The sequence below is a fragment of the Homo sapiens genome, chromosome 1, assembly GCF_000001405.40.
Source record: "Homo sapiens chromosome 1, GRCh38.p14 Primary Assembly".
In the NCBI taxonomy this organism is placed as follows: Eukaryota; Metazoa; Chordata; class Mammalia; order Primates; family Hominidae; genus Homo; species Homo sapiens.
In genome coordinates this window covers 204,106,920-204,129,270 of record NC_000001.11, presented here as the reverse complement: position 1 = coordinate 204,129,270, position 22,351 = coordinate 204,106,920, and the positions used below count along the sequence as shown (strand labels likewise).

The 22,351-nt window shown below is 51.6% G+C and overlaps 1 protein-coding gene across 4 annotated transcripts in view, besides 5 other annotated features; it reads right to left on the bottom strand.

The window, feature by feature from the left end:
• Positions 1-1,527: 1,527 nt before the first annotated feature.
• Positions 1,528-22,351, bottom strand: part of SOX13 (SRY-box transcription factor 13) — a 54,629-nt gene continuing 33,805 nt past the window's right edge. For 2 of the 4 annotated variants that reach the window (NM_005686.3, XM_047435006.1), the window contains exons 2-14: positions 16,137-16,356; positions 14,839-14,950; positions 14,666-14,752; positions 12,592-12,764; positions 12,081-12,149; positions 11,564-11,678; positions 7,286-7,371; positions 6,872-7,034; positions 6,308-6,417; positions 6,063-6,159; positions 5,467-5,610; positions 4,414-4,630; positions 1,528-3,413 (exon numbers count right to left, since the gene is read on the bottom strand). In NM_005686.3, the coding sequence (NP_005677.2) occupies positions 3,137-3,413; positions 4,414-4,630; positions 5,467-5,610; positions 6,063-6,159; positions 6,308-6,417; positions 6,872-7,034; positions 7,286-7,371; positions 11,564-11,678; positions 12,081-12,149; positions 12,592-12,764; positions 14,666-14,752; positions 14,839-14,950; positions 16,137-16,355 (1,869 nt within the window). In that variant the 5' untranslated portion in view covers position 16,356 and the 3' untranslated portion in view covers positions 1,528-3,136. The remainder of the gene's footprint in view (positions 3,414-4,413; positions 4,631-5,466; positions 5,611-6,062; positions 6,160-6,307; positions 6,418-6,871; positions 7,035-7,285; positions 7,372-11,563; positions 11,679-12,080; positions 12,150-12,591; positions 12,765-14,665; positions 14,753-14,838; positions 14,951-16,136; positions 16,357-22,351) is intronic. The other 2 variants (XM_005245623.4, XM_047435007.1) reach the window with 1 other exon arrangement.
• Positions 2,743-3,242: an enhancer, noted in NCBI's record as "H3K4me1 hESC enhancer chr1:204095157-204095656 (GRCh37/hg19 assembly coordinates)". NCBI's record gives its function as "activates a minimal SCP1, AML or CMV promoter by ChIP-STARR-seq in naive H9 embryonic stem cells {active_cell/tissue: H9 hESC(naive)}" and the evidence as "EXISTENCE:reporter gene assay evidence [ECO:0000049][PMID:30033119]".
• Positions 3,243-3,744: an enhancer, noted in NCBI's record as "H3K4me1 hESC enhancer chr1:204094655-204095156 (GRCh37/hg19 assembly coordinates)". NCBI's record gives its function as "activates a minimal SCP1, AML or CMV promoter by ChIP-STARR-seq in naive H9 embryonic stem cells {active_cell/tissue: H9 hESC(naive)}" and the evidence as "EXISTENCE:reporter gene assay evidence [ECO:0000049][PMID:30033119]".
• Positions 19,535-20,378: an enhancer, noted in NCBI's record as "OCT4-NANOG-H3K27ac-H3K4me1 hESC enhancer chr1:204078021-204078864 (GRCh37/hg19 assembly coordinates)". NCBI's record gives its function as "activates a minimal SCP1, AML or CMV promoter by ChIP-STARR-seq in naive H9 embryonic stem cells {active_cell/tissue: H9 hESC(naive)}" and the evidence as "EXISTENCE:reporter gene assay evidence [ECO:0000049][PMID:30033119]".
• Positions 20,379-21,221: an enhancer, noted in NCBI's record as "OCT4-NANOG-H3K27ac-H3K4me1 hESC enhancer chr1:204077178-204078020 (GRCh37/hg19 assembly coordinates)". NCBI's record gives its function as "activates a minimal SCP1, AML or CMV promoter by ChIP-STARR-seq in naive H9 embryonic stem cells {active_cell/tissue: H9 hESC(naive)}" and the evidence as "EXISTENCE:reporter gene assay evidence [ECO:0000049][PMID:30033119]".
• Positions 21,222-22,065: an enhancer, noted in NCBI's record as "H3K27ac-H3K4me1 hESC enhancer chr1:204076334-204077177 (GRCh37/hg19 assembly coordinates)". NCBI's record gives its function as "activates a minimal SCP1, AML or CMV promoter by ChIP-STARR-seq in naive H9 embryonic stem cells {active_cell/tissue: H9 hESC(naive)}" and the evidence as "EXISTENCE:reporter gene assay evidence [ECO:0000049][PMID:30033119]".

Sequence of the window (22,351 nt, the reverse complement as noted above, 5' to 3'; positions counted from 1 at the left end):
AGAGGGCTGAGGGGAGTGGGAGGTGCAATGGGCAGCTCTCCATCGTGACCACCAGGGGGCAGGCGCCGCCGCCAGCTCCTCCTCCCACCTCTGCCTGCATCTTTTCCAGACGTGGCGTGGGGAGGGCGAAGGAGAGGAGGCTCTGAGAACCCGGGCTGGGGAAAAAACAGCCAGCCAGCGTTCAGGACGCTCCCCATACCAAATGGCTGGGCCCTTAATTCTTGGGCAGTCTCCATTCCACACCCTCCCAACTTTGTGGCCCTAGAATCAACCACCACACCTACCCTCTCTCACCACTACCCTCTCCAATCTAGAAATCCCTCCACCAGTACTCAAGAGCTTGAGGACTTGAGTTGGGAAGTTCACTCTTTTTTGTGGAAAAGGTGTTCTTTATGTCAAGACAGTCTTGAACCTCATCCAGGAGCTCAAGTTCTGCCTCATGAACTTTGTGCAATACTACACTTTGCCCACCTGGCAGTTTTGGAGAAAGCAATCTTGTCCTTTCTGTCCAACTCTGTCTTCTTTTCTAGAGGAAACACGCCTGACCCTTCTGACTATTCCTCTAAGGACAATGTGCACCAGGATCCCTCCTGTGCTCCTCCATGTGGGGTGCCTGCTTCAGGGCCCCTCCATTGTGAGACTTCCCTAGTGAGGGGGCGAGGAAGGGCACGCTACCCCTGGGACTAGGTCTGTGTGGGGTACACTGGACCATCACCTCCCCTGTTGTGAACACAAGCCTCTATTAATGCAGCCCAAGTCCAACTCTTCCACAAGAACTACTGCCATTCGGTTTTGCTGTCCCCACTCTATACTGATGGGATTAATTTTTCACTACAAGATGTGTCTCTCTAGAGCCTGGTTAATATGCATTTTTGAGGTGTTTCAGTCTGTCATCCGGCCCTTGCAGGCCTATTACTTCTCCTAATGGGATAACTAGGTCTGAAGTGTTCACTCAAAGCATGTGTCATGGATAGAGAGCCCTGAAGCATTATCATTAGAGACCCTGCTTCATTAATTAGCATCGTAGGGGCCTCAGATGGGCTTCAGGGTAAACCTTTGTGGGCCCTTTTCTAAGAAAAGGATCCACAGCTTTCATTAGAGTCTCAAAGGGCTACTTCTCTGAATGGTAAGAACCAGGTATAAGGTTTAATCTTGTTGTCAGATGAGGACAATGAGGCCCCAAAGGAGAGACCTGGCTCCCACTCCCCAACCCCAGCCATGTGGCCAGTTCTAGAGAGACCCCGAGCTTCATGACTCCTATTACAGTGCTCTTACTACTGCCTTCTTTCTTAGGATCCGGGTGGCCTCACCTCGTCAAGGTAGGGGCATTCAGCGTGGGCTCTGTGGAGGGCATGTGTCACTCACAAGCTTGGCCTGGGATTCCCTTGCATTAAGCCAATTCCTCTGAGGCCCCAGGCCTGAAGCTCCTGCAGGCTGCCACCAGGGGACAGTGGTGCCCAGGCTGGTGGCATATTTGGGAATTCTGGACTTAGGCCAGCCTCCCTCCTCCCCTGCACAAGGGCCAGATTCTGAAATGATCTGTCTTTATTATGTCATCAGAAAACAAAAAAATCCCCCGAGTGTAAACAGGAGAAATGTGCTGGTTAAGTTACTCATCATTATCTTATTATTAACAAAATAAAGCACTATCTATGTTTACAGTCATAAAAAAAGAAACAGCCTGGAGAGAAGTGGGGGCTTTGAGGATGGAGAGAAGACGGGGGCAGACACAGACTCCACATCTGGCCCTGTGGGATTTGGGGTTCCCATACTGATCCAAGGGCTATTTAGATCTTCAGAGTTAGGTGACAATGGGATTTGATTTCCTTAGGGAACAAACTTTGTGAAACTGATCAGAGGCTGAGATCCAGTCCCTAGTATAGAGTGGGGGAGGGGAGGGCAGGCAGGTGAGGGGCAGGGCTGGGTGGGAGAGGCTGAAGCCCAGGAGTCTTCTCAACCTCTTCCAAGAATGGGGACCCCCCCGACCCTGTGCTCATGAGGGAGGAATAAAGACCAGCTGCCATGGACAGCCCCTCTCCAGGGCCTCTGACGCTGGCAGGAAGGGGAGCACCATCAATCCTCCTGTCCCAACTCCCTCGTGGGATCAGGTTGGGACCAGGGGCGGGGGCACCAGGACAAAGCCCCTTGGAGGCCGAGGCACATTCCCATGCTGATCAGAGCTAAAAATGGCTCCGTGGGAACCGACTGGCAGAGCCAGGGAGGGAGTGAAGGGGAGGGCAGGAGGAGGTCAGGAAGGCTGATGAGCCCAGGGCAGACCAGGGGCCTACATAGACCCAGAGAATCCAGAGGGCACAGGGGGCAAAGGACAGACACCAAGAAAGAGAGAAATAGAGGGCCTTGCAGAGAGACGAGGACAGAGAGAGACAGAAATGCACACAAGGACACACAGAACCTGAGACACCCAGACTGACAAAGAGGTAGCAATTTGGGGACAAAGAGAAGCACAGAAAGAGGCCCCCAGAGAAGCAGGAGTGGCATCGAGAGACACACCCACAGGAACTCAGCAACAGTGCCTGGCACGTAGTGGGCACTCAATAAATATCTTGTGCAGTGAATGAACAGATGAAACACACACACGTGCACGCGCACACATACAGCAGCCAGAGGCACAATAGGCTTGGCAGAGATGAAAACAGCAAGGGACAGCCAGACCCTTTTGCACAAAGTACAAAGCGATCCTGGTGATAGACGAGCAGTCTGGGGGAGTGTGGGAGGGGTGTTGGTCCCACAGTGGCTGGTCCAGCCAGGACAAGAATGGAAACAAAGCATGTGACCCCAGGGAGACAGGTCGGTAGATGCCATACCCCAGGTGGATAGACACCTGCAGGAGAGGAGAGTCATACAGTGTCCCCTGGCCATAAGCCCTAAAGGCTGAGGTGCTCAGCCTGCTCAGCCCATGGCCATACTGCAGTTCCTGCCCACCCAGGCCAACAGCTCCTCAGGAAGGGAGGGCGCCTCTCCCCTCATGAATGTATCTGCAAGTGCACAGCTTTGCCCATCTCTGGGGCACGAACAAGTCCAAGTACCAACATAGTCTTAGGTTGGCTGGCTGTGCCCATCGAGTTGGGACAAGGTCTTCCCCAGAGGAGAAGGGGCCAGGCCCACCCAGCCGGGATCAGTCTGTGAGCACCACCAACTCCCCATCGCTCTTCTCTTCGCCCTCCGAGTCCTCGTCCTCGCTGTACCGGTACATCTCGCCATCAGCCACCGAGTGCCTGTCATCTGTGCCCTCACCCTCCTCTCTGAGGCTGCAGGTGTTGACGATCACAGGCATGTTGGGGTCCAGGCTACGAGGGACATAGTGCTCCACCAGTGGCTGTGCCAGCGGCATGCCTGCTGCCCGAGGGTACAGGACATCTGAGGAGCTCATCTGCACCTGGCCAGCCTGCGGGCTGTGGGGCAGAGAAGGGGAACGGTGATGGATGCACACTTGATTCAACCCCAAACCCATCTCCCCTCCAGGCCTCCTCAGAGCATGCACTCCCACTCCACACACTCTTGGCTGTGACTTATATACCCTGCCCCCAGCCTGCTTTCTGATGGCCAAATTCACTGGCACCTACGACCCTGCAGATGACCTGCAGACCTAGGGCCATAGATGTGTTCAACAGATAATATTCTTGGAGGATCATGTGTGAATCCAGTTTTTAGAACTTGTATATTTTATGTTTTGTTTACTTATATTTAGAGACAGGGTCATGCTCTGTCACCCATGCTGGAGAACAGTGGTACAATCACAGCTGACTGCAGCGTCAGCCTCCCAGGCTCAAGTGATCCTCCTGAGCCTGCCTCAGCCTCCTGAGTAGCTGGGACTACAGGTGTGAACCACCACACCTGGCTAATTTTATTTAAAGATGAGGTTTCACTATGTTGCCCAGGCTGGTCTCAAACTCCTGAGCTCAAGGGATCCTCCTGCCTCAGCCTCCCAAAGTGTTGGCATTACAGGCGTGTGTCACTATACCAGGCAGAAATTGTATATTTTAAATGCCCTGGGAGATGTCCTGTTTAAAGGAATAGACTAGGGTGCTTGCTTTAGTCAAGTCAGGAACCTTTCTGTGTGATGAATACTTTGATTTCTAGCACCTCTGAATTTCTATTGAGTTTATCGGCCGTGGGATCTACAGGCACTTTCTCCAGGTCCACGTGGCCAGTCCTCCAGTCACATTCCTACATCCTCAGCCACTGAGTGCTCACCACAGTCACATACATAGCCATACACAGTCGGGTCGCACGTGCAGGCTCAGCTATACACAGATAACACACACACGTACGCATACACACAGCACCCCTGGGGTCACACACAAAGGCAGGCCACACACTGACACCCAGCCACTCATGAGAGCTACACATGTACACACAGTCTCCTGGCTGCCTGCGGGGGGGCCTGCTCACGGGATCACGTAGCTCTGGCGGGCATCCTGACGCCGGGTCCTCATCAGGGCCTTGTACTCTCCCACGCGCAGCCGCTTGCCCTCCACGATGCAGGTGCGCTTGGGCCGCGGCTTGTACTTGTAGTCAGGATACTTCTCCAGGTGCTGCCGGCTCAGCCGCGCCTGTTCCTCATAGTAGGGCTGCTTCTCCTGGTTGGTCATGGACTTCCAGCGAGATCCTGACCCAACCCCCCAGGGGCAGGCAGTCAGTGCTGGGCTCTGCTGACCACCCCCAGCCCCATGCAGGACCTGAGAAGACCTTGATCCCCAGGTGGGTCCATAAGATAATATATGTGCAAGCACTTAGCAAGGGCCTGGCCCGATACGGGTGCTCCTTGGATATTGGGCAAATGAATGAAGTTGGCCTGTATAGGGATATCCAACTGCCAGCTTAAGACTCAGTACCCACCCATGTTCCTAACAATCCAGCAACTTCCTTGAGCCTCTGGCCTGCCTGATTTGCATAAACAAAAGAGCAGCCACCTCAGACCTTCAACAACCCAGACAGGCTCCCTGCTCAGGACAAAATACCTGATGTCTCAGTTGACAGAGTCCTGCGCTGACACTGGAGGAGCCTCAGTCTTGAAAACAACTGGCCCCTCGAGCTCCATCTGCCCTGCCCAACATCCCTCCGTGGCCACCAATCAGGACATATAATTTAAAAAAATCTTTCTAGTGACAGCCCAGGAACACTAGTCTCTCCTGTTTTCTGCCAGAGCAAGGGTCTGGACAAACAGTGGAACAGGTTAGGTTTAGATCAGGAGTACTAAAGAATGTAAACACACACACACGCACACTCCTTGAGTTCTTGAGGACAGGTGCTACCGAACACTTCAGTGATATAAGACCCCAGGACCCAGCTGCCCTCACATCCCCAGCAACTCCTGCACCCCTGTCGTCAGATTCCACTGGAGTCCAACACAGTATGGAATATCACCAAGCAAGCCCTGAATAGACCCAGCTGGCTCCTGCAACCAGGTCACACTGAACCATGGCCCCAGCCACTGGCCCTTACCAAGGATCTTGCTGATGCTGGAGTTGTGCATGTCTGGGAAGGCTTGCAGGATCTTCCTCCGCTCATCCTTGGCCCACACCATGAAGGCGTTCATGGGCCTCTTGATGTGGCTGCTGTTTCGGGACTCGGGGAAGTGGCGGGAGCCTGGGAGACAGGAGTGAAGTCAGCCAAGCAGCCTGTCTGGGGTCAGGAGAGTGCCCCAGGGCCAGCAGAGAGACGTCCCCTACTTGACCAGCAGGAGGCACTGAGGAGGCTCCCACAGCAGCCAGCCGAGGAGGAGCAAGGCAGGAGCAGATGGGGCAGAAGAAACAGCAAATTATCCGCAGAGGCCCAGCCAGGGAACCAGAGACAGACACACAAGAAAATCACAGCGGTATGGCCTCAAGAGAGAGCAGAAACTCAGCAGTCACAAAACTTAGGAAAGCAGACTCAGAGACAGAGCCGACAGACACATAATGGGACAGCAGAGGCACACACACCTGGAAAGGACCCAACAGACCAAGGGAGGGAAGAGATCAGAGGCAGACACAGCCCTGGCCCTGGTGGAATACAGAGTTGGGCCCTCCTGCGCATCAGCCCTGCGCCTGAGCCCTCACCATCCATGTCGCAGCTCAGCATGGCTTCCTCCAGTGGGTGCACACAGCCGTCCTCCAGCCGCTCCTTGGCTGGGGATGAGTCCAGGCTGATGAGGTCCTAGGTTGACAGGGGCAACCTGACATCAGCCTCCTCTGCATCACCCCACTCCTCCCCATGCTCCTCTCTTGGTGGCCTCAGACTGTGTCTTCCACTCCTGGCCACCATCTGTTGCTGCCCCTAGGCTCAAGGGAGTGGGGGACCATACCTTACGGAAGGGGGTGTTGGGGGAGCCATCCAAGGCCCCACTGTGGCTGTGCAGCAGCTGCCGAGCATCCTGGATGGCTTTGGTGACAGCGTCCCCTTCACCAAGGAAGCCTGTGGGAGAGGGCAGAAGAGAGGGAAGAGAAGCGAGAGAAGCTGAGGGCATCAGCCCAGCATGAGCCCAAACTCCATCAGCTTCCCGCCATGCCACTCCCATGAGGCACCTGAGTTAGTGTTCCCTCCTGTTCTTCCACAGGGCGGCTGCATTGCATGTCCTCAGGGATATGCCACTTACACTGGCTAGTTATTGTGCATGTCAATAGACTAGAAATGACAACAGTACCCCCTGGAACTATGTGACTCTGGCCTGAATCCCTGATGCTTGGAATGCCCAGACAGATATGATGAGGGAGAGGAAGAAGGGGATCTTCTGCTAAGAGCAAGTCTAACCCCTCATTTGATAAAATCTGGAACCCAGGGAGGAGAAGGGACCTGCTCAAGGTCGCATCATGCCGCCGGCTCTCCCCTAAGAGGGCTGAGGGACAAGTGCAGGCAGCAGGAGGCTTACCCAGAGGCAGGCTCGGGGGGCTGGACTGCAGGTCCCGCGTGGGGCCTCCATGGCTGGGGGGGCGGGGCACACAGCTGCTCATCTTCAGGCTTGGGGAGCTGGAGGTGTTGGGCAGCTCGGGGGCCTTGGGCTTGGCTGTGAGGTTCAGGGGCTGGGAGGGCTCCTGAGGGAGACCCAGCAGGTCAGAGGATGACAGACACCAAAGGACACTCCCACAGCAGGACAGAGAGGAAGTGAGGTGAGCATACCCAGAACACACAAGGAGACAGACAGAAAAGTGGACGCAGAAGGAGCGGGTGAACAAGAACACAGGATGCCAGGGCTCACCAGTCCACACCCCGCAGTTCCCTAACACGGCAGCCGGCCGTCATAAGCTCGAGAGGGAGCCCCAGGCCAGTGGGTAGAGGGCGGTACCTGCAGGGGGTGGTGGGTGGCCATGGCCCCAGGCCTCTTCACCACTGGGGCAGGGGGGCTGTGCAGCAGCTGCAGCGGATACTCCACTATGGAAAAGGCAGCAAGGAGAAAAGTCCTGGATGAGCACAGAACAGCAGACACCCTGCTTGACGAGGTCCCAGCACCACAAGATGGGCAATGGCTCGGCACTGGACCAGCTTGGTTCCAACCACTGCCCTCCCCAGCCCCAAAGCACTGCTTGGAGGCTCCTATCCCCTCACTCCACACTGCCCCTGCACACTGACTGGCATCTTCACTGGGTTCCCGCCCTTCCCAACCCACTCTAAATAGAGTTTCCCAGATTCTAGAGTCCCATCCAATGGCACAATGAGAGAGGGTAAAACACCTATTCATCCAACAGCTACTTTTATTTTGTACCTACTGGGCACAGGGCACAAAAGCGGCTGCCTGTTGTGTAGAACGTCTCATATGTATCATCTGACAATAATACATGGTATGTGATATATAACAGGGGCTGAATACATCATCATCCCATTTTACAGAAAAAGAAATGAAAACCTTAGAAGTCAAATGGGGCTGGGTGTGGTGGCTCATGCCTAGCACTTTGGGAGGCTGAGGCAGAAAGACTGCTTGAGGCCAAGAGTTCAAGACCAATCTGGTCAACATAGCAAGACCCCCATCTCTATTATTAAGAATTGAAGCCAGGCGTGGTGGCTTACGCCTGTAATCCCAGCACTTTGGGAGGACAAGGTGGGTGGATCACAAGGTCAGGAGTTCGAGACCACCCTGACCAGCATGACCAACATGGTGAAACCCCATCTCCACTAAAAATACAAAAATTAGCCGGGTGCGGTGGCACGCGCCTGTAATCCCAGATATTCAGGAGGCTGAGGCAGGAGAATCGCTTGAACCCAGGAGGCGGAGGTTGCAGTGAGTCGAGATTGCACCACTGCACTCCAACCTGGGGGACAGAGCGAGACTCTGTTTCAAAAAAAAAAAAAAAGAATTTAAAATTTTCAAAACTAAAAAAATAAAAATAAGAAGAAAAATGGGTTGTCCACAGAGCTATGAAATGGCAGCATCAGGATTTGAACCCAGGGCCTCTAGACTCCACAGCCTTTCCTTCTTCTCGACATGGCACTCCTGCCTACCCTACCTCACTCCCAGGCCCAGCATCCAGGTGGAGAGATAGGCCACATGTAGAAATCATGAAGTGCATGGCAGGTGGTGATGAGGGCCACACAGACAGAGCACCAGCAAACTCTGCTCCAGCTGGGGTAACTAGAGCAGGCTCCCTGTGGGAGCCGAGGTGTGCGCTAGTGCCTGCAGGATGGGCAGGATTTGGGCAAGTAGAGATGGAGTGGTGGGGTGTGTGAGGGTGAGCTGTGGGGAATGAGGCAGGCCATGGGGGCCAGGTTGGCCCCGAGGCCCATGAAGGCCGAGGTCAGGAGTACGGAGCCCATGCTGTGGGTACAGAGCACCATGTAAGGCTTGTGAGCTGGGGAGGGCCACTGTTTACAGTCAGCTTTTGCAAGGGACCTTGCTTGCTTAATTTCTGGAGCAAACAAAGTGGGAGGCAGCCATGCCAGTCCCGGGCTCCCACAGCTTATTTACTGCCTTACCTGCCCAGAAAGCAGTTGGGGGTCCTATCCCCGACCAGATCACTGTCCCCTTGCCTCCACAGCTCTCCTCCACACTCATGGGGAGTTGCAATGGTTTGGAATTGCCCTGTCCTCCACCTTCAACCTTCTCCACTCCCCATTCCCCCAGCTAACTGGAAACTTCCACATTGGGCCTGTCTTAGTCTACTCAGGCTGTTGAAACAAAGTGCCATAAACTGGACAGCTTACAGACCTCAGAAATTCATGCCTCAGTTCTGAAGGGGAATTTGCTTCAGAATGAATTATACCTTGAGTCTTACCTATAACTGATTTAGGTGAGATTTATTATTATTTTTGTCTGTTTTGCGACAGGGCCTCACTCTGTATGTCTCGCTTTGTCTCCCAGGAGGGTGTGCAGTGGTACAGACACAGCTCACTACAGCCTTGTCCTCCTGGGCTCACGCAATCCTCCTGCCTCAGCCTCCCAAGTAGCTGGGACCACAGGCACAGGCCACCATGCCAGGCTTTTTTTTTTTTTTTGTAGAGACAGGGTCTCACTTTGTTGCCCAGGCTGGTCTTGAACTCCTGGCCTCAAGCAATCCTCCTGCCTTAGCCTCCCAAAGTGCTGGGATCACAGACATGACCACTGTGCCTGGCCTAGGTGAGATTAGATGAGGCTCTGGACTTGAAACTTTTGAACTGATGCTGGAACAAGTTAAGATTTGGGAGCCTATTGGGATGGAATGAATATATTTTGCATATGACAAGAAAATGAACTGGGGAGAGTCTGGGGCAGAATGCTATGGTCTGAATGTGCCTCCCCCACCCCAATTCCTATGTTGAAATCTAATTCCCAATGTGATAGACTTAGGAGGTGGGACCTTTGGGAGGTGCCTGGGTCATGAGGGTGGAGCCCTCAGGAATGAGATTAGAGGCCTGAGGGAGCCCGTTTACCCCTTTCACCACCTGAGGACACAGTGAGAGACGCCATCTGTGAACCAGAAAGTCAGCCCTCACCAGACACCAAATATGCTGGCTTTATGATCTTGGAATTCACAGCCCCCAGAACTGTATGTGAGGAATAACATCTGTTGTTTATGAGCCACACGGTCCATGGTGTCTTTCTACAGCCCCTGAATGGATGAAGATGGGGCCTGGCTTTCTCAGTCCTTTGTGTTTCCCCTTCACACCACCCTACAGTGCCCGGCACAAACCAGGCAGGAGCAGAGAGCCAGTGGGGCTGAGCAGTCTACCCAAGCCCATGGCCTATAGGCCTCAGGGAATTTCCTCTTCTCTCTCTCTTTCTCGCCTGTGGAACAGGGAGGATGATCTAGCACGTGTTGCCTTTAAAGCTGTCCACACTCCTGGGGTAATTATGGGCAGCATCTCTGCCCTGTCCCCATAACTCTCTGTCACTGCCCTAGTTCAGGTATCATCCCCTGCTGCTAGAATCACCTAGCAGGTCCTGCTTCTGGCCAGTCTCCCCTCCACTCCCCACCCCTCAAAGCCAGAACGACACACTCACTTCTCAAATGTTCACATGCACCCCACAGCCTACAAAATAAATCCCAGACTCCATGCTCCCTCCCCAACTGCCCTGTACCGTCAGGTCCCACACCCTTGTCTGACACATGGCCATTCTGCTGAATTTCAGTGATGGGGTAGAAGGCCAGAGTGACATGGTGTAGGCAGGGACAAGAGTGTGAAGGTAGGAATCGTGGCTGTTAGAATTTGGGAGATGTTGGCTCACGCCTGTAATCCCAGCATTTTGGGAGGCTGAGGCGGGAGGATCACTTGCGGTCAGGAGACCAGCCTGGGCAACGCGGCGAAATTTCGTCTCTACTAAAAATACAAAAATTAGCCAGGTATGGTGGTGTGCACCTGCAATTCCAGCTACTCAGGAGGCTGAGGCAGGAGAATCGCTTGAACATGGGAGGTGGAGGCTGCAGCAGTGAGCTGAGATTACACCACTGCACTCCAGAGCCCAGGTGACAGAACAAGTAAGACTCTGTCTCAAAACACAAAACACAAACAAACAAAAAAGAATTTGGGAGATTTGTAAAACCCAGTTAATATTCCAGATTTTTTTTTTTTTTTTGAAATGGAGTCTCGCTCTGTCACCTAGGCTGGAGTGCAGTGGCATGATCTCAGCTCACTGCAACCTCCACCTCCCAGGTTCAAGCGATTCTCCTGCCTCAGTCTTCTGAGTAGCTGGGACTACAGGCATGCACCACCACACCCAGCTAATTTTTGTATTTTTAGTAAAGATGGGGTTTCACCATGTTGGCCAGGCTGGCCTCGAATTCCTGACCTCAAGTGATCCACCCACTTCGGCCTCCCAAAGTGCTGGGATTACATGCGTGAGCCACCACACCTGGCAATATTCCAGATATTAATACTCTGACACAGTAAATGTACTAGAGTTGGAGAGACTAGACCTGGATTGCTACATCATTTTACATCTGGAAAGGGCTTTATGGTTTTTCATTCTCCCAGTGAAGTTCAGAGAAATTCAGCAAGATTCAGAAAAAGAGGATGATTCTTCTACCAGACAGATCCAAAACTGAGGCCCAGAAAGTCCACATAGCAAATTAATGGATGAGAGTGGCTCCAGGGCGCTTTCCCTGACCTCAGGACAGGCTGGCCGCAGTGGTGGAACCTCCCTTCTCACACTCACCTGGTTTGCAGGGAATGGGCTGAATGGGTAAGGCCAGCTGGGAGTCAGGGGTGACAGGCAGAGGTTGGTGGCTTGGGGGGAAGGCTGGGATCATGACATAAGGCATGTTAACCTGCTGAAGGCAAAGAAACCCTGTGTGAGTCCCCAGGGACCCAAAGAGCTACCCAGCTATGGTCAGCCCATGGCACAGAGAATGGACCCATGGACAAGAGGCACAGGGGATAAAGCAGGGACAGTTTTCCAAAGGATCCCTTTGACCCTAGGCCAACTCTGTGGGCCCCTGTCTACCTGCCCTCAGGTCTCAGCTGGGGAGGAAGACATGCCGGGCTCCTCCCTTTAATCAGGGAAGGAAGACAGGTTGGGGGCTAGAATAGAAATAACCCTCCTCAGGTCAGGCCTGAGTGATTCTGCTCTGGCTCTTTAACTTGGTGCACATCCCCTGTCCCCAGCACCCTCCAGGCCGGTGTCAACTCCCTCAACTGCCTCCTGTGCCTCTCCGGGTCTCCCCTCCGGTTACCTGGATCTGCTGCTGAAGGAGGTTGATCTTATGCTGCTGCTGAATCAGCTGCTGCTGCTGCTTTGCAATCTGGGAGAGGGAAAGAGTAGGCAGAGGGGGTCACGGACATTAGCCCTGGTGCCCAGTCTGCCCAGCCCTAACCACACCCTGCTTTCTACAGTGGGGCAAGCCATGGAGTGGGGTGGCAGTAGGGAGCAAAGCAGTCAGCCCTCAGAATTGGTTCTCCTTTTGCAGGAAGCTCATCCCTCCCTCCAGGACCAGGAGGCTGGGCAGGAAGCTGCAAGCTGCTCTTCCTGCAGAGTCCCTTTCATACCCTCCCACCCCTAACCCTGTACAAGGGCTCATGAATCAGTCCAGGTGGGAATCCTACAGCCCCTGGCCACAGACCCTGCCCAGCCTGCCCCCAGGCCCCAGCTTGCACTGGTGAGGCCTGTCCCTAAGGCAGCCTTCTCTAGGTCCTGACACACTCCTTTTCCTGGAAAGAAAGCTACACCCACCGAACAGGACCTACCTGCTCCTGCTGCTGCCGGGCAAGCTCCATCTGCTGCTGCTGCTTCTCAAACAGCATGGCAGCCATGTTCTTCTGCTCCGAGTGGGCTGTCAGGAGCTGGTCCCGCAGGGTGGACAGCTGGTGAATCATGACCAGAAGCTGGAGCTCCTTCTCTGCTAGGCTCTCTTGGGTCCCTGCTCCACAGTGAAACAGACCCCATTGAGACTTTTTACTTGTTCATCTATACATCCATCCATCTATCCACCCATCCATCAGAAACTTATTGAGCAATTGCTATGTCCCAGGACCATTAGGGGCTGAGCCACAGAGATGATGACACAAGATGCTTGCCTTGAAGGGGGCTCTTCATGTTGCTACCTGGCAACTACTAGCCTAGAAGTTCTCCCCTATTAGCCATGAATTCCAGGCCCCCTGAAAATGCTGACAGTGGGACATGTCAGCCCCAGAGCCCCAGGCCTCTTCAATGTCCTCGAGTGCTCAGCGCCACACAGGGTCAGGGTGGACAACCATCCCATCGGAGGGATCCAGTGGGACACACTCAGGCTTTGAAGCAAGACAGGTCTGGGGTCAAATTCCCATTTCAACCCATCCTGTCTGTGAGCTGTTAGGCAAGTTACCAATTTCTCTGCACTTTAGGGTTTTCAAAATCTTGGTAAGTGGGCATAATAATAATCACCTCAGAGGGTTACTATGAGGGATAAATGAGCTAATAGAGGCCAGGTGTGGTGGCTCACGCCTGTAATCCCAGCACTTTGGGAGGCCGAGACAGGTGGATCACTTGAGGTCAGGAGTTCGAGACCAGCCTGAACAACATGGTAAAACCCCATCTCTACAAAAATGCAAAAATTAGCCGGGTATGGTGGCGCATACCTGTAATCCCAACTACTTGGGAGACTGAGACAGGAGAATCGCTTGAACCCAGGAGGTGAACTTTGCAGTGAGCCGAAATCACACCACTACGCTCCAGCCTGGGCAACAGAGCGAGCTGTCTCTCTCCAAAAAAAAAAAAAAAAAAAAAAAAAGAAGAAGAAGCGCTAATATATGCAAAGCTCTTAGTCCAGGATCTGGCACATGGTCCTCAACCAATAAATGTTAGTGTCCCCCTGACCTCCAGTTTAGCTCCTGTCTGATGCAGCAGTTTATTCCTGAGTGCCTGGCCATAGACCTTTTTTTTTTTTTTTTTTTTTAAAAAAAAAAAAAAAAACAACATCGGAATCACTCATGGATCCTTTGAGAAGTATAGAGGCCCAGGCCCCTACCATACCCTGGGGTTCCCATTCAATAGGTGGGGGTGGAGCCTGGGCATCTGTACGGTTTTAAAGTTCCCTCTGTGGGTGTGATCAATGACAATGCAAAAATGATCATTCTGGCTGGGTGCAGTGGGTGGCTCATGCCTGCAATCCTAGCAATTTGAGATGCCAAGGTGGGAGGACTGTTTAGGCCCAGGGGTTCGAGACCAGCCTGGGCAACATAGTAAGACGTCATCTCTACAAAAAAAATATAAAAATTAGCCTGGCTTGGTGGCAGGTGCCTGTGTTCCCAGCTACTCAGGAGGCTGAGATAGGAGGATCATGCAGGAGGTTGAGGCTGCAGTGAGCCAAGATTGTGCCACTGCACTCCAGCCTGGGCGACACAGGGAGACTGTATCTTAAAAAAAAAAAAAAATCACTCTAAGGAACCCAAGCAGCAGCCCATTAGTAACTACTTTTCACTCACTTAGTGAGGTCCAACTGACCTAGAATTAATTAGAGTGAAAGGGAACTTTCTGCTCATTTTGCGGTTAGACTCGGGAAGTGGCAATGACATGCCTGAAGTCACAAGGGTGCCTGGTGAGAGCCCAGATTCAGAGTCATGGGATTTGATTCCTACCAGGCCTCTCCTGCATGGGATGAGTGAGACCTAATGCTTGGGGCCTCCAGGCGAGGGATGGTGATGACCCCTAAGGCCAGGCAGGAGCCAGATGGCACAGGATAGGTATGTACCAAGAACTGCCCTACAGAGCCAGGCTGCGTGGCCAGACCAGGAGAAGAGAGATGGGGTTCAAACATCTCCCCCACCCCCAACAGGCCTTCACCTTTGACATCTTTGGCTTCCATAGAGTTCCTTCCTAGAAACCTCTCCTTCCAGTCACTGGACAACAGCTTCTCTATGGCTGGCACCACTGGAAGACAGCAAAGGGGTGAGGAATAACCGTCTTAACACCTCCCTGCCTCAGGCCTCTGCTTCTAACTAGGGCAGACATCCTACCTTCTTTCAAATTTCGGTTGAAGTCCAGCTTCTCCTGGCTTCCAGAGGCAGCCTCCGACACTCCTGGTCTCTTGGGTTCTGGGGACCCATTACCCTCTGGAGAGCTACAGTCCTGCAAGACATACTGAATTGTCACCATAACCCCCAAGAGAAGGGGACAGGCTGCAGGGAGGGCTGGGCACCCCAAAGATGTGTACCCTGAGGGATCCCAGCCCTATCCAAGTCCTACTTCTCCACTCACTAGGTCCCTTTGGCCTCCACCTGCCCAAGCTTTGTTTAGGAAAAGAACAGAAGATTTCAAAACAAAAGACCTGGGTTTCAGTCCAGGCTCAGTGACTCACACGATGCTTGATCCCACACAAGTCCCTGAAATGCTCTGAACCTGACTTCCCTCTTTTGAAAATGGAAATATTAATACCTCCTCTGTCACAGGATTGTTGCTGGGATCAAGGGAGTTAATGCATGTGAATGAGATTTGCCATTACAATCAGGGGCCAAAAGTCAGCTATTAGTTATCACTCCCTTGAACATACCCACTACACCAGCTGGGCTGCATAGGGGAGCAGGTAGGGGCTGGCAAAAGTTACTCACACTCCCCACTGCCTGCCTCACTCCTCTTCTCGTCAAAGTCCTCCCCATCCTTTAAGGCCTAGCTTGAGGCTCTACTTCTCCAGGAAGCCTTCCTTGATCACCAGTGCCCCCACCCCCCACCTCCTTCCTCCAGGCTGGATTCTTTCTTAGAGCCCATAACTCTCCTCATTTTCACTTATTTGGATTTTAATTATATATCACCTTTTTACATCTCATATGTGAAATCAGAATTTTTAGGAGCTGCAAGAATCCTTATGAATCATGCAGCTCAATTCTCTTGTTTTTTTAAGGGTCAAGAACCGTATCATCTTTAACAGTGACCTAATTCTTGCTTGTGTAATCAGGTTGATTTTCCCAAATCATCTGAAAAATCTGGTAGATTACTTTAAAGCCAAACTTTAGCATGTGTGTCCCATCTCCCCATCTAGTCCTCAGAAGCAAGGACTGGGTCACACATAGGTGAACTGTCACTATCAAGCGAGTAAGTACAGGCATGAGTCTAGGTCCTGCTCTGATAGGTGACCCCGCTTCCAGCCTCAGACTGAACTTGGCAGTGCCTCCCTGCTTCCCTACATGGCGTCTTACCCCTAGGATCACCACTTCTGCCTGTATCTGCTGCCATCTAGGGGAGTGGGCCTGCCCAGCCGAGCAGAGAGCCCAGGTACAGCGCATGGGTGTGAGGATGGAGGCAGGGCGGGGACACTGACCCAGGAGCCCCTGAAATTCCCCTGGGCTGGAGCTTGGGGGTCAGCACTATCCTGGGAGGCCCGGGCTGGGTCTCCAGGCTGAGGTTCAGCGGCAGTGGCTGAGCCCTGGGGGGCCTCGTGGCAAGGCTCTTTCTTCTCCTCTGACTTGATGGTGCAGTTCACCATGGTGCCAACGCCATCCAGGGCCAGCTGGGCAGAGATGGGGCTCCTCATGGACATCCTGGGGGAGGGACAGAGTGAGCTGAGGTGAGTCCCCAGTCGTAAACTTCTGCCCAGAGGCAGTGACCCTACTGTTTGCTCCCCTGACCCCACCCAAGTGCCTCCTGGTGCCTGTCACATGGGCACACTCACAGAAAGGGCAAGCTTACTTGTGAACCCACAGAAAAATCAGCAAAGCCTCTTGTATCCCTCATGCTTTTTTGTTTTGTTTTTTGCTTTTTAAACAAAAAGTTCTAGAGAAGAGTGGGCCTACCCTTGCGCAGCAGCTGCCTGTGTAATGCTTGGGACTACGGGACTAGTGGACTGACGGCCCAACTAACGAGGCCAGATACTGACTGGCTGTTTCTGAGCCCAACAGAGTTGGAGAGCGACAGCGAGAGAGAGAAAGTGTGTGTGTGTGTGTGTGTGTGTGTGCACGCATGTGTGCATGTGTCTGTGCATGTTTGTATGTATACAAATGCATTTTTTTTTTTTTGAGACAGAGTCTCACTCTGTCACCTAGGCTGGAGTGCAAGGGCACGATCTCGGCTCACTGCAACCTCCGCCTCCCAGGTTCAAGTGATTCTCCTGCCTCAGCCTCCCGAGTAGCTGGAATTACAGGCACACGCCACCACCCCCAACTAATATTTGTATTTTTAGTAGATATGGGGTTTTGCCATGTTGGCCAAGCTGGTCTCCAACTTCTGACCTCAGGTGATCTGCCCGCCTCAGCCTCCCAAAGTGCTGGAATTACAGGCGTAAGCCACCACGCCCAGCCTACAAATGCATTTTTATAATTAGTTACCAATACTTAAAAATCAAGAGATAACACATAAAAATCTAGATTTGAACTTCTAGCTCAATTGTTTTTGTGGTAAAAATTGGCTGGAATTGAGTAATGGGTATTTCTTATGGACAGGCCAGTCTACTTTAGCCTCTACACTCCTACTACTCCTCAAAAAGGAAACCAAGTATTAACTATATAAGACATATATTCTTCTATATATAAGACATATAGTCTTCTTCTTACAGTGGAGATAAGGTAAAAGTAAATGATTTCTTGCTTCATGCATCTATCACACGGGGGGAAATAGCCGGGTATGGTGGTTCATGCCTGTAATCCCAGTTACTCAAGAGGCTGAGGAAGGCACATCACTTGAGGTCAGGTGTTTGAGGCCAGTCTGGACAACCTAATGAGACTCCCATCTCTTTAAAAAAATAAAGGGCGGGGGTGGGGGGAATAACAGACTGAGATGATTGGCTTTACGAAAAATATTTTCCGGTATCTAGCTAGAATCTCTCAGAGTCTGGCCACCATAGGCATCTGAGTTTGCAGTTCCTAGTTTAAGCAGCTGGTATACCTGGCAGACCCTCTTGAGACTCTGCACCTGCTGTTCCTTTCCTGTCACATCACTGCCTGGGACATCTGAGGAGCTGAGCAATCGCAGCATCTCAGGGAGTGGTTTCCAGGGGTCATGCCAGGCTTGGGCGGAGCAGCAGATGCCTATCCTCCAAAGTCACAGAGATGCGCTCTGGGTTCTAGTGGGAACACAGCAGGTTCCAGCTATGCATGGGTCCTGCCTCAGCTACTGACTAGCCAAGTGACCTAGGGCAAGTTGCTTAGCTGCTCTGTACTTCAAGTTTCCTCATCTGTAAAATGAGCATGGTAAGAGTCTCTACACTATAGGATGGCCGTGAGGACTAGGAGTTGATATTTATATGGTACTTAGAATAGTTTGTGGCACCAGTAAGCACCGATCTGGTGTTTTGTTGTTTCCTTGTTTATCACATTTCCAAATAACATCACATGATCTGGTGTTTGTTAAACCACTACTAGTTGGAATGCAGTATAAGGACCAGCAGCTTCAGCATGCCTTGGGGGCTTGTTTGAGAGGCAAAGTCATAAGTCCCTCCCACAAATCAGAATCTCTGGGAGTTAGGCCAGGGATCAGGTTTAACAAGACCTCCAGGTGATTTTGATATGCACTAGTTAGAAAAGCACTGTTAAATACATTTTTTGATTTTTTTTTTTTTGCATGGGGATTAGATGTTTAGGGGAAGTATGTAAGGCTAAAATCAGATATAGTAAAAATATCCCTACAGTAAAAAAATTCCTTAAACCTCCCAGGTGCAGTATGGTATTTAAATACTGCATCAGCTCTGTATGGATGCATTTGGATAGATTGCATCAACTCTGTAAAATGTTTGTTATGTATTATGAAACACGCATTGTATATAATAGAGTACATGTAGAGTATTTTAAATAAGCATTATAATTGAATAAAATATATACAATCAGCCCTCTGTATTTGTAGGTTCCACATCCATGGATTCAACCAACCTCAGATCAAAAATATTTAAAAAAGAAATTTCATCTGTACTGAACAAGTAGACTTGTCATTATTCCCTAGACAATATAGTGCAAAAACTATTTATATATGATTAACATTATATTAGGTATTATAAGTAATCTAGAGGCACAGGGGCTCATGCCTGTAATCTCAACACTTTGAGAGGCTAAGGCAGGAGGATTGCTTGAGGCCAGGAGTATTGTATTTTTTTTGTAGAGACAGGGTCTTGCTATGTTGCCCATTAGCATGAGCAACATAGCAAGACCCTGTCTCTACAAAAGAATACAAAAATTAGCTGGGCATGGTGGCATGCGCCTATAGTCCTCGCTACTCAGGAGGCTGAGGCTGGAGGATTCACTTGAGGCCAGCAGTTTGAAGCTGCCAAGATTAAGCCACTGCACTCCACTCTGTCAAGGTGACAGAGCAAGGCCCTATCTCAGAAATGATAACAACTGGCCAGACGCGGCGGCTCATGCCTGTAATTCCAGCACTTTGGGAGGCCGAGGCGGGTGGAGCACCTGAAGCCGGGAGTTCGAGACCAGCCTGACCAACATGGAGAAACCCCATCTCTACTAAAAATACAAAATTAGCCGGGTGTGGTGGTGCATGCCTGTAGTCCCAGCTACTCAGGAGGCTGAGGCAGGAGAATCTCTTGAACCCGGGCGGTGGAGGTTGTGGTGAGCCGAGATGGTGCCATTGCACTCCAGCCTGGGCAACAAGAGCGAAACTCCGTCTCAAAAAAAAATAATAATAATGATAATAATAATAACAATAAATAAAAAACAAGGTATACGGGAGGATGTGCATAGGTTATATGCAAATACTATGCCATTCTATATCAGGGACTTGAACATCAGCACATTTTAGTATCTTTGGAGGTCCTGGAACCAACCGTCTCAGATACAGCGGGATGACTATATACAGTCCTACATCAATTAATAGCATAAACATGTTCTGAGAAATGCATCACCAGGCAATTTCTTTGTTATTCAAACCTCATAAAGTATATTTACACAAACCTAGATGGTACAGCCTACTACACACCAGGCTGTATGGTATAGCCTATTTCTCCTAGGCTACAAACCTGTACAGCATGTTATTGTACTGAATACCGTAGGTAATTGTAATGCAATGGTTAAGTATTTGTGTATCCAAACATCCAAATATAGAAAAGCTACAGCAAAAATACAGTAGTAGAATCTTGCAGGACCACTGTCCTATATGTGTTCGGTCGTTGACAGAGACATTGGTAGGCAAGCAGTGCATGAGTGCATGTGTATTTGATTTGATTCCACCTTGCTGATCAGACCAGACTCTCCTGCTCACCCACTTTCAAAGTGTAGGGTTCCCCAGAGGCTGGGTCCCAAGACAGGGCACTGCAGAGAGGGGCCTCCATGACCATAAGTACAAAGGCCCCATCCCACCTAGATGCAGAGAAGAGAAGAGACCCCAGGCCAGCTCACCCTGGGGTCCCCTCCTACAGCCCAGGGGCTTGGAGAGCGTCCAGAAAGCAGGCGGCTCAGCCCATCCGGGCACCGGGAGGGGCTCAGAGCCAGGCCGAGAGCAGGGGGGCGAGAAGTGGGAGTGGGTGCAGTTGGGGAGGGGGTTTTATCCTGAAGCCGAAGGCAGCAATTACATAACAAACAAACCCTGGGCTCAAGCTGTGAATTAATCAAACCGCTGAAAATAAAACCTTCCTCTCAGGAACTTCAGACAAAAGAAATGAAAACAACCAGGCTGGCTGGAAAATAAAAGGCAGCAGCACTGAATGGGGGACAAAAGGAAGCCAGACAATAGGGTGTTGGACAAAAGCAATAAAGCCAAAGGAAGTGTGACAGGCGCACAATGCGGGCCTGTGGGCCTCTGATCCGTCGGCTCAGCGCCACCTCACTCACACCCACTGCGGGCGCAGGCCGGCCACCGGGTCCCTCCTCACTCCGGACTTGGGTCCTAAGGGTCTCTCCTTCATTCTGTCCCAACTTCAGGGGCCTCCAGCTCCCACCTCAAAGCCTTCCTGCTGCAGCCCAGAAATCCCAGCAGCAGCCACAGCCTCCAGGAGCATGGTCAGATGAACAGGACACAAAAGTCCAAGGTCTCCCCAGTTGGGGATGGTGAACGACCATCCATCCCTGGAGCTGATGGTGGAGGCAGAGGAGGCCATCATCTGTCCTAATTAACCCTAGGACTGCACGGCCCAAGATTGCAGCCACTTGCCCCATGCGGCTACTAAGCACTTATAATGCAGCCAGTCCCAACAGAAATGTGCTGTGGGCATCAAACCCACCCCAGGTTTTGAAGGCTTAGTACATGGAATAGAATGTAAAATAGCTCATTAGTAATGGTTACTGATTACAAGTTGAAATTCTTTTTGGATAAGTTGGTTAGATAAAATACATCATTAAAATTCATTTCACCTATTTCTTTTTATACTTTTTAATACAGCTACTAGCAAATATTACACATGTAGTTCCCATTATATTTATGTTGGACAGCGCTGCACTAGGACACCTCCTCCCTTTGAGCTTCTACACACACTTAGCCTCCACGGTCCCTCCAGCCAGGCACCATGGATCACCCTTATATTAGGGAGCCTGTCTCCTGGGCCTCTCAGTGGCCTACCCTGGCCTCCAGCACAAAGACAATGGCTCCTGGTGACCAGCCAAGCCAGCTTAGAGGTGTCAGTCTGTTCACTAGGGCTGGGTGCCCACCAGATAACCCTGCCCAGACAAGGGCCCTTCCATCCTCACAGGTGTCTGGCTCAACGGCAGGTGCTGGGCACTGGCCCTTAGTTGGTATCCTCTGGGCCCACTTGTCCATGAAAAGGCAACAGCCCAGGCACAATGCCACCCCGCCCCCAATGGAGAGCAACTCTGGGTCTCACCTTTGGGGGAGAGGGTCCCTGGGTACCTCTTTTACCTCCCTCTCCCCCTCCCCAAGCACAGGCCTGCTTGAGAAGAGCAGCTGCTTTCCCTGCCCTGTCTGGTCTTGAGGGAACCAAGCCCCAGCCTGCCATGGCCCAGAGAGACGCAGGTGTCTCTGTGAAGAGCATCAGTACCAGGCTCCAGACCCTAACCATCCCAGGGAGGGGAGCGACGGTCCCATGATCAACTAGATAAGGGAGGAAAGGCAGTGAGATGGAAAGAGAGGGGTCATTATGTGGTCACTGCTCTGTCACTCTGCAGCTGGGGGTCTGCACAGTTTGCTTCACCCCTGCAAGCTGTGTCTATAAAACAAGGGTCCTGGAGGGAGTCAGGGGACAACTTGGAAGACCCGCAGGGTTTGAATCCAACAACCTGGGTTTAAATTCCTGCCCTGCCACAGGCTGACTTGTATGAACCTAGTCAAATTAATTAACCTCCCTTAGCCTGTCTCCTCATCCATACAATGGGTACAATAACCCATGTCTCACTGGTGTCCATGAAGATCAGATAATACAGGGTGAATATCTATTCTGTAAGTTGTGCGCAGTCCAGGATGCTCTGAGAGTCAAGTGGTTGAGAGAAAAGCCTCTAGGGTCAGACAGACTTGGGTACATTTGAATCCCAACTCTGACCAATCATTGCTGTGCAACCTTGGGCAAGTAACTTAACTTCTCTGAGCCCATTTCCTCCTCAGTAAAATAGGAATAAGAAACTCAACATCAAGAGGTGAATCTCCTGTTAACAA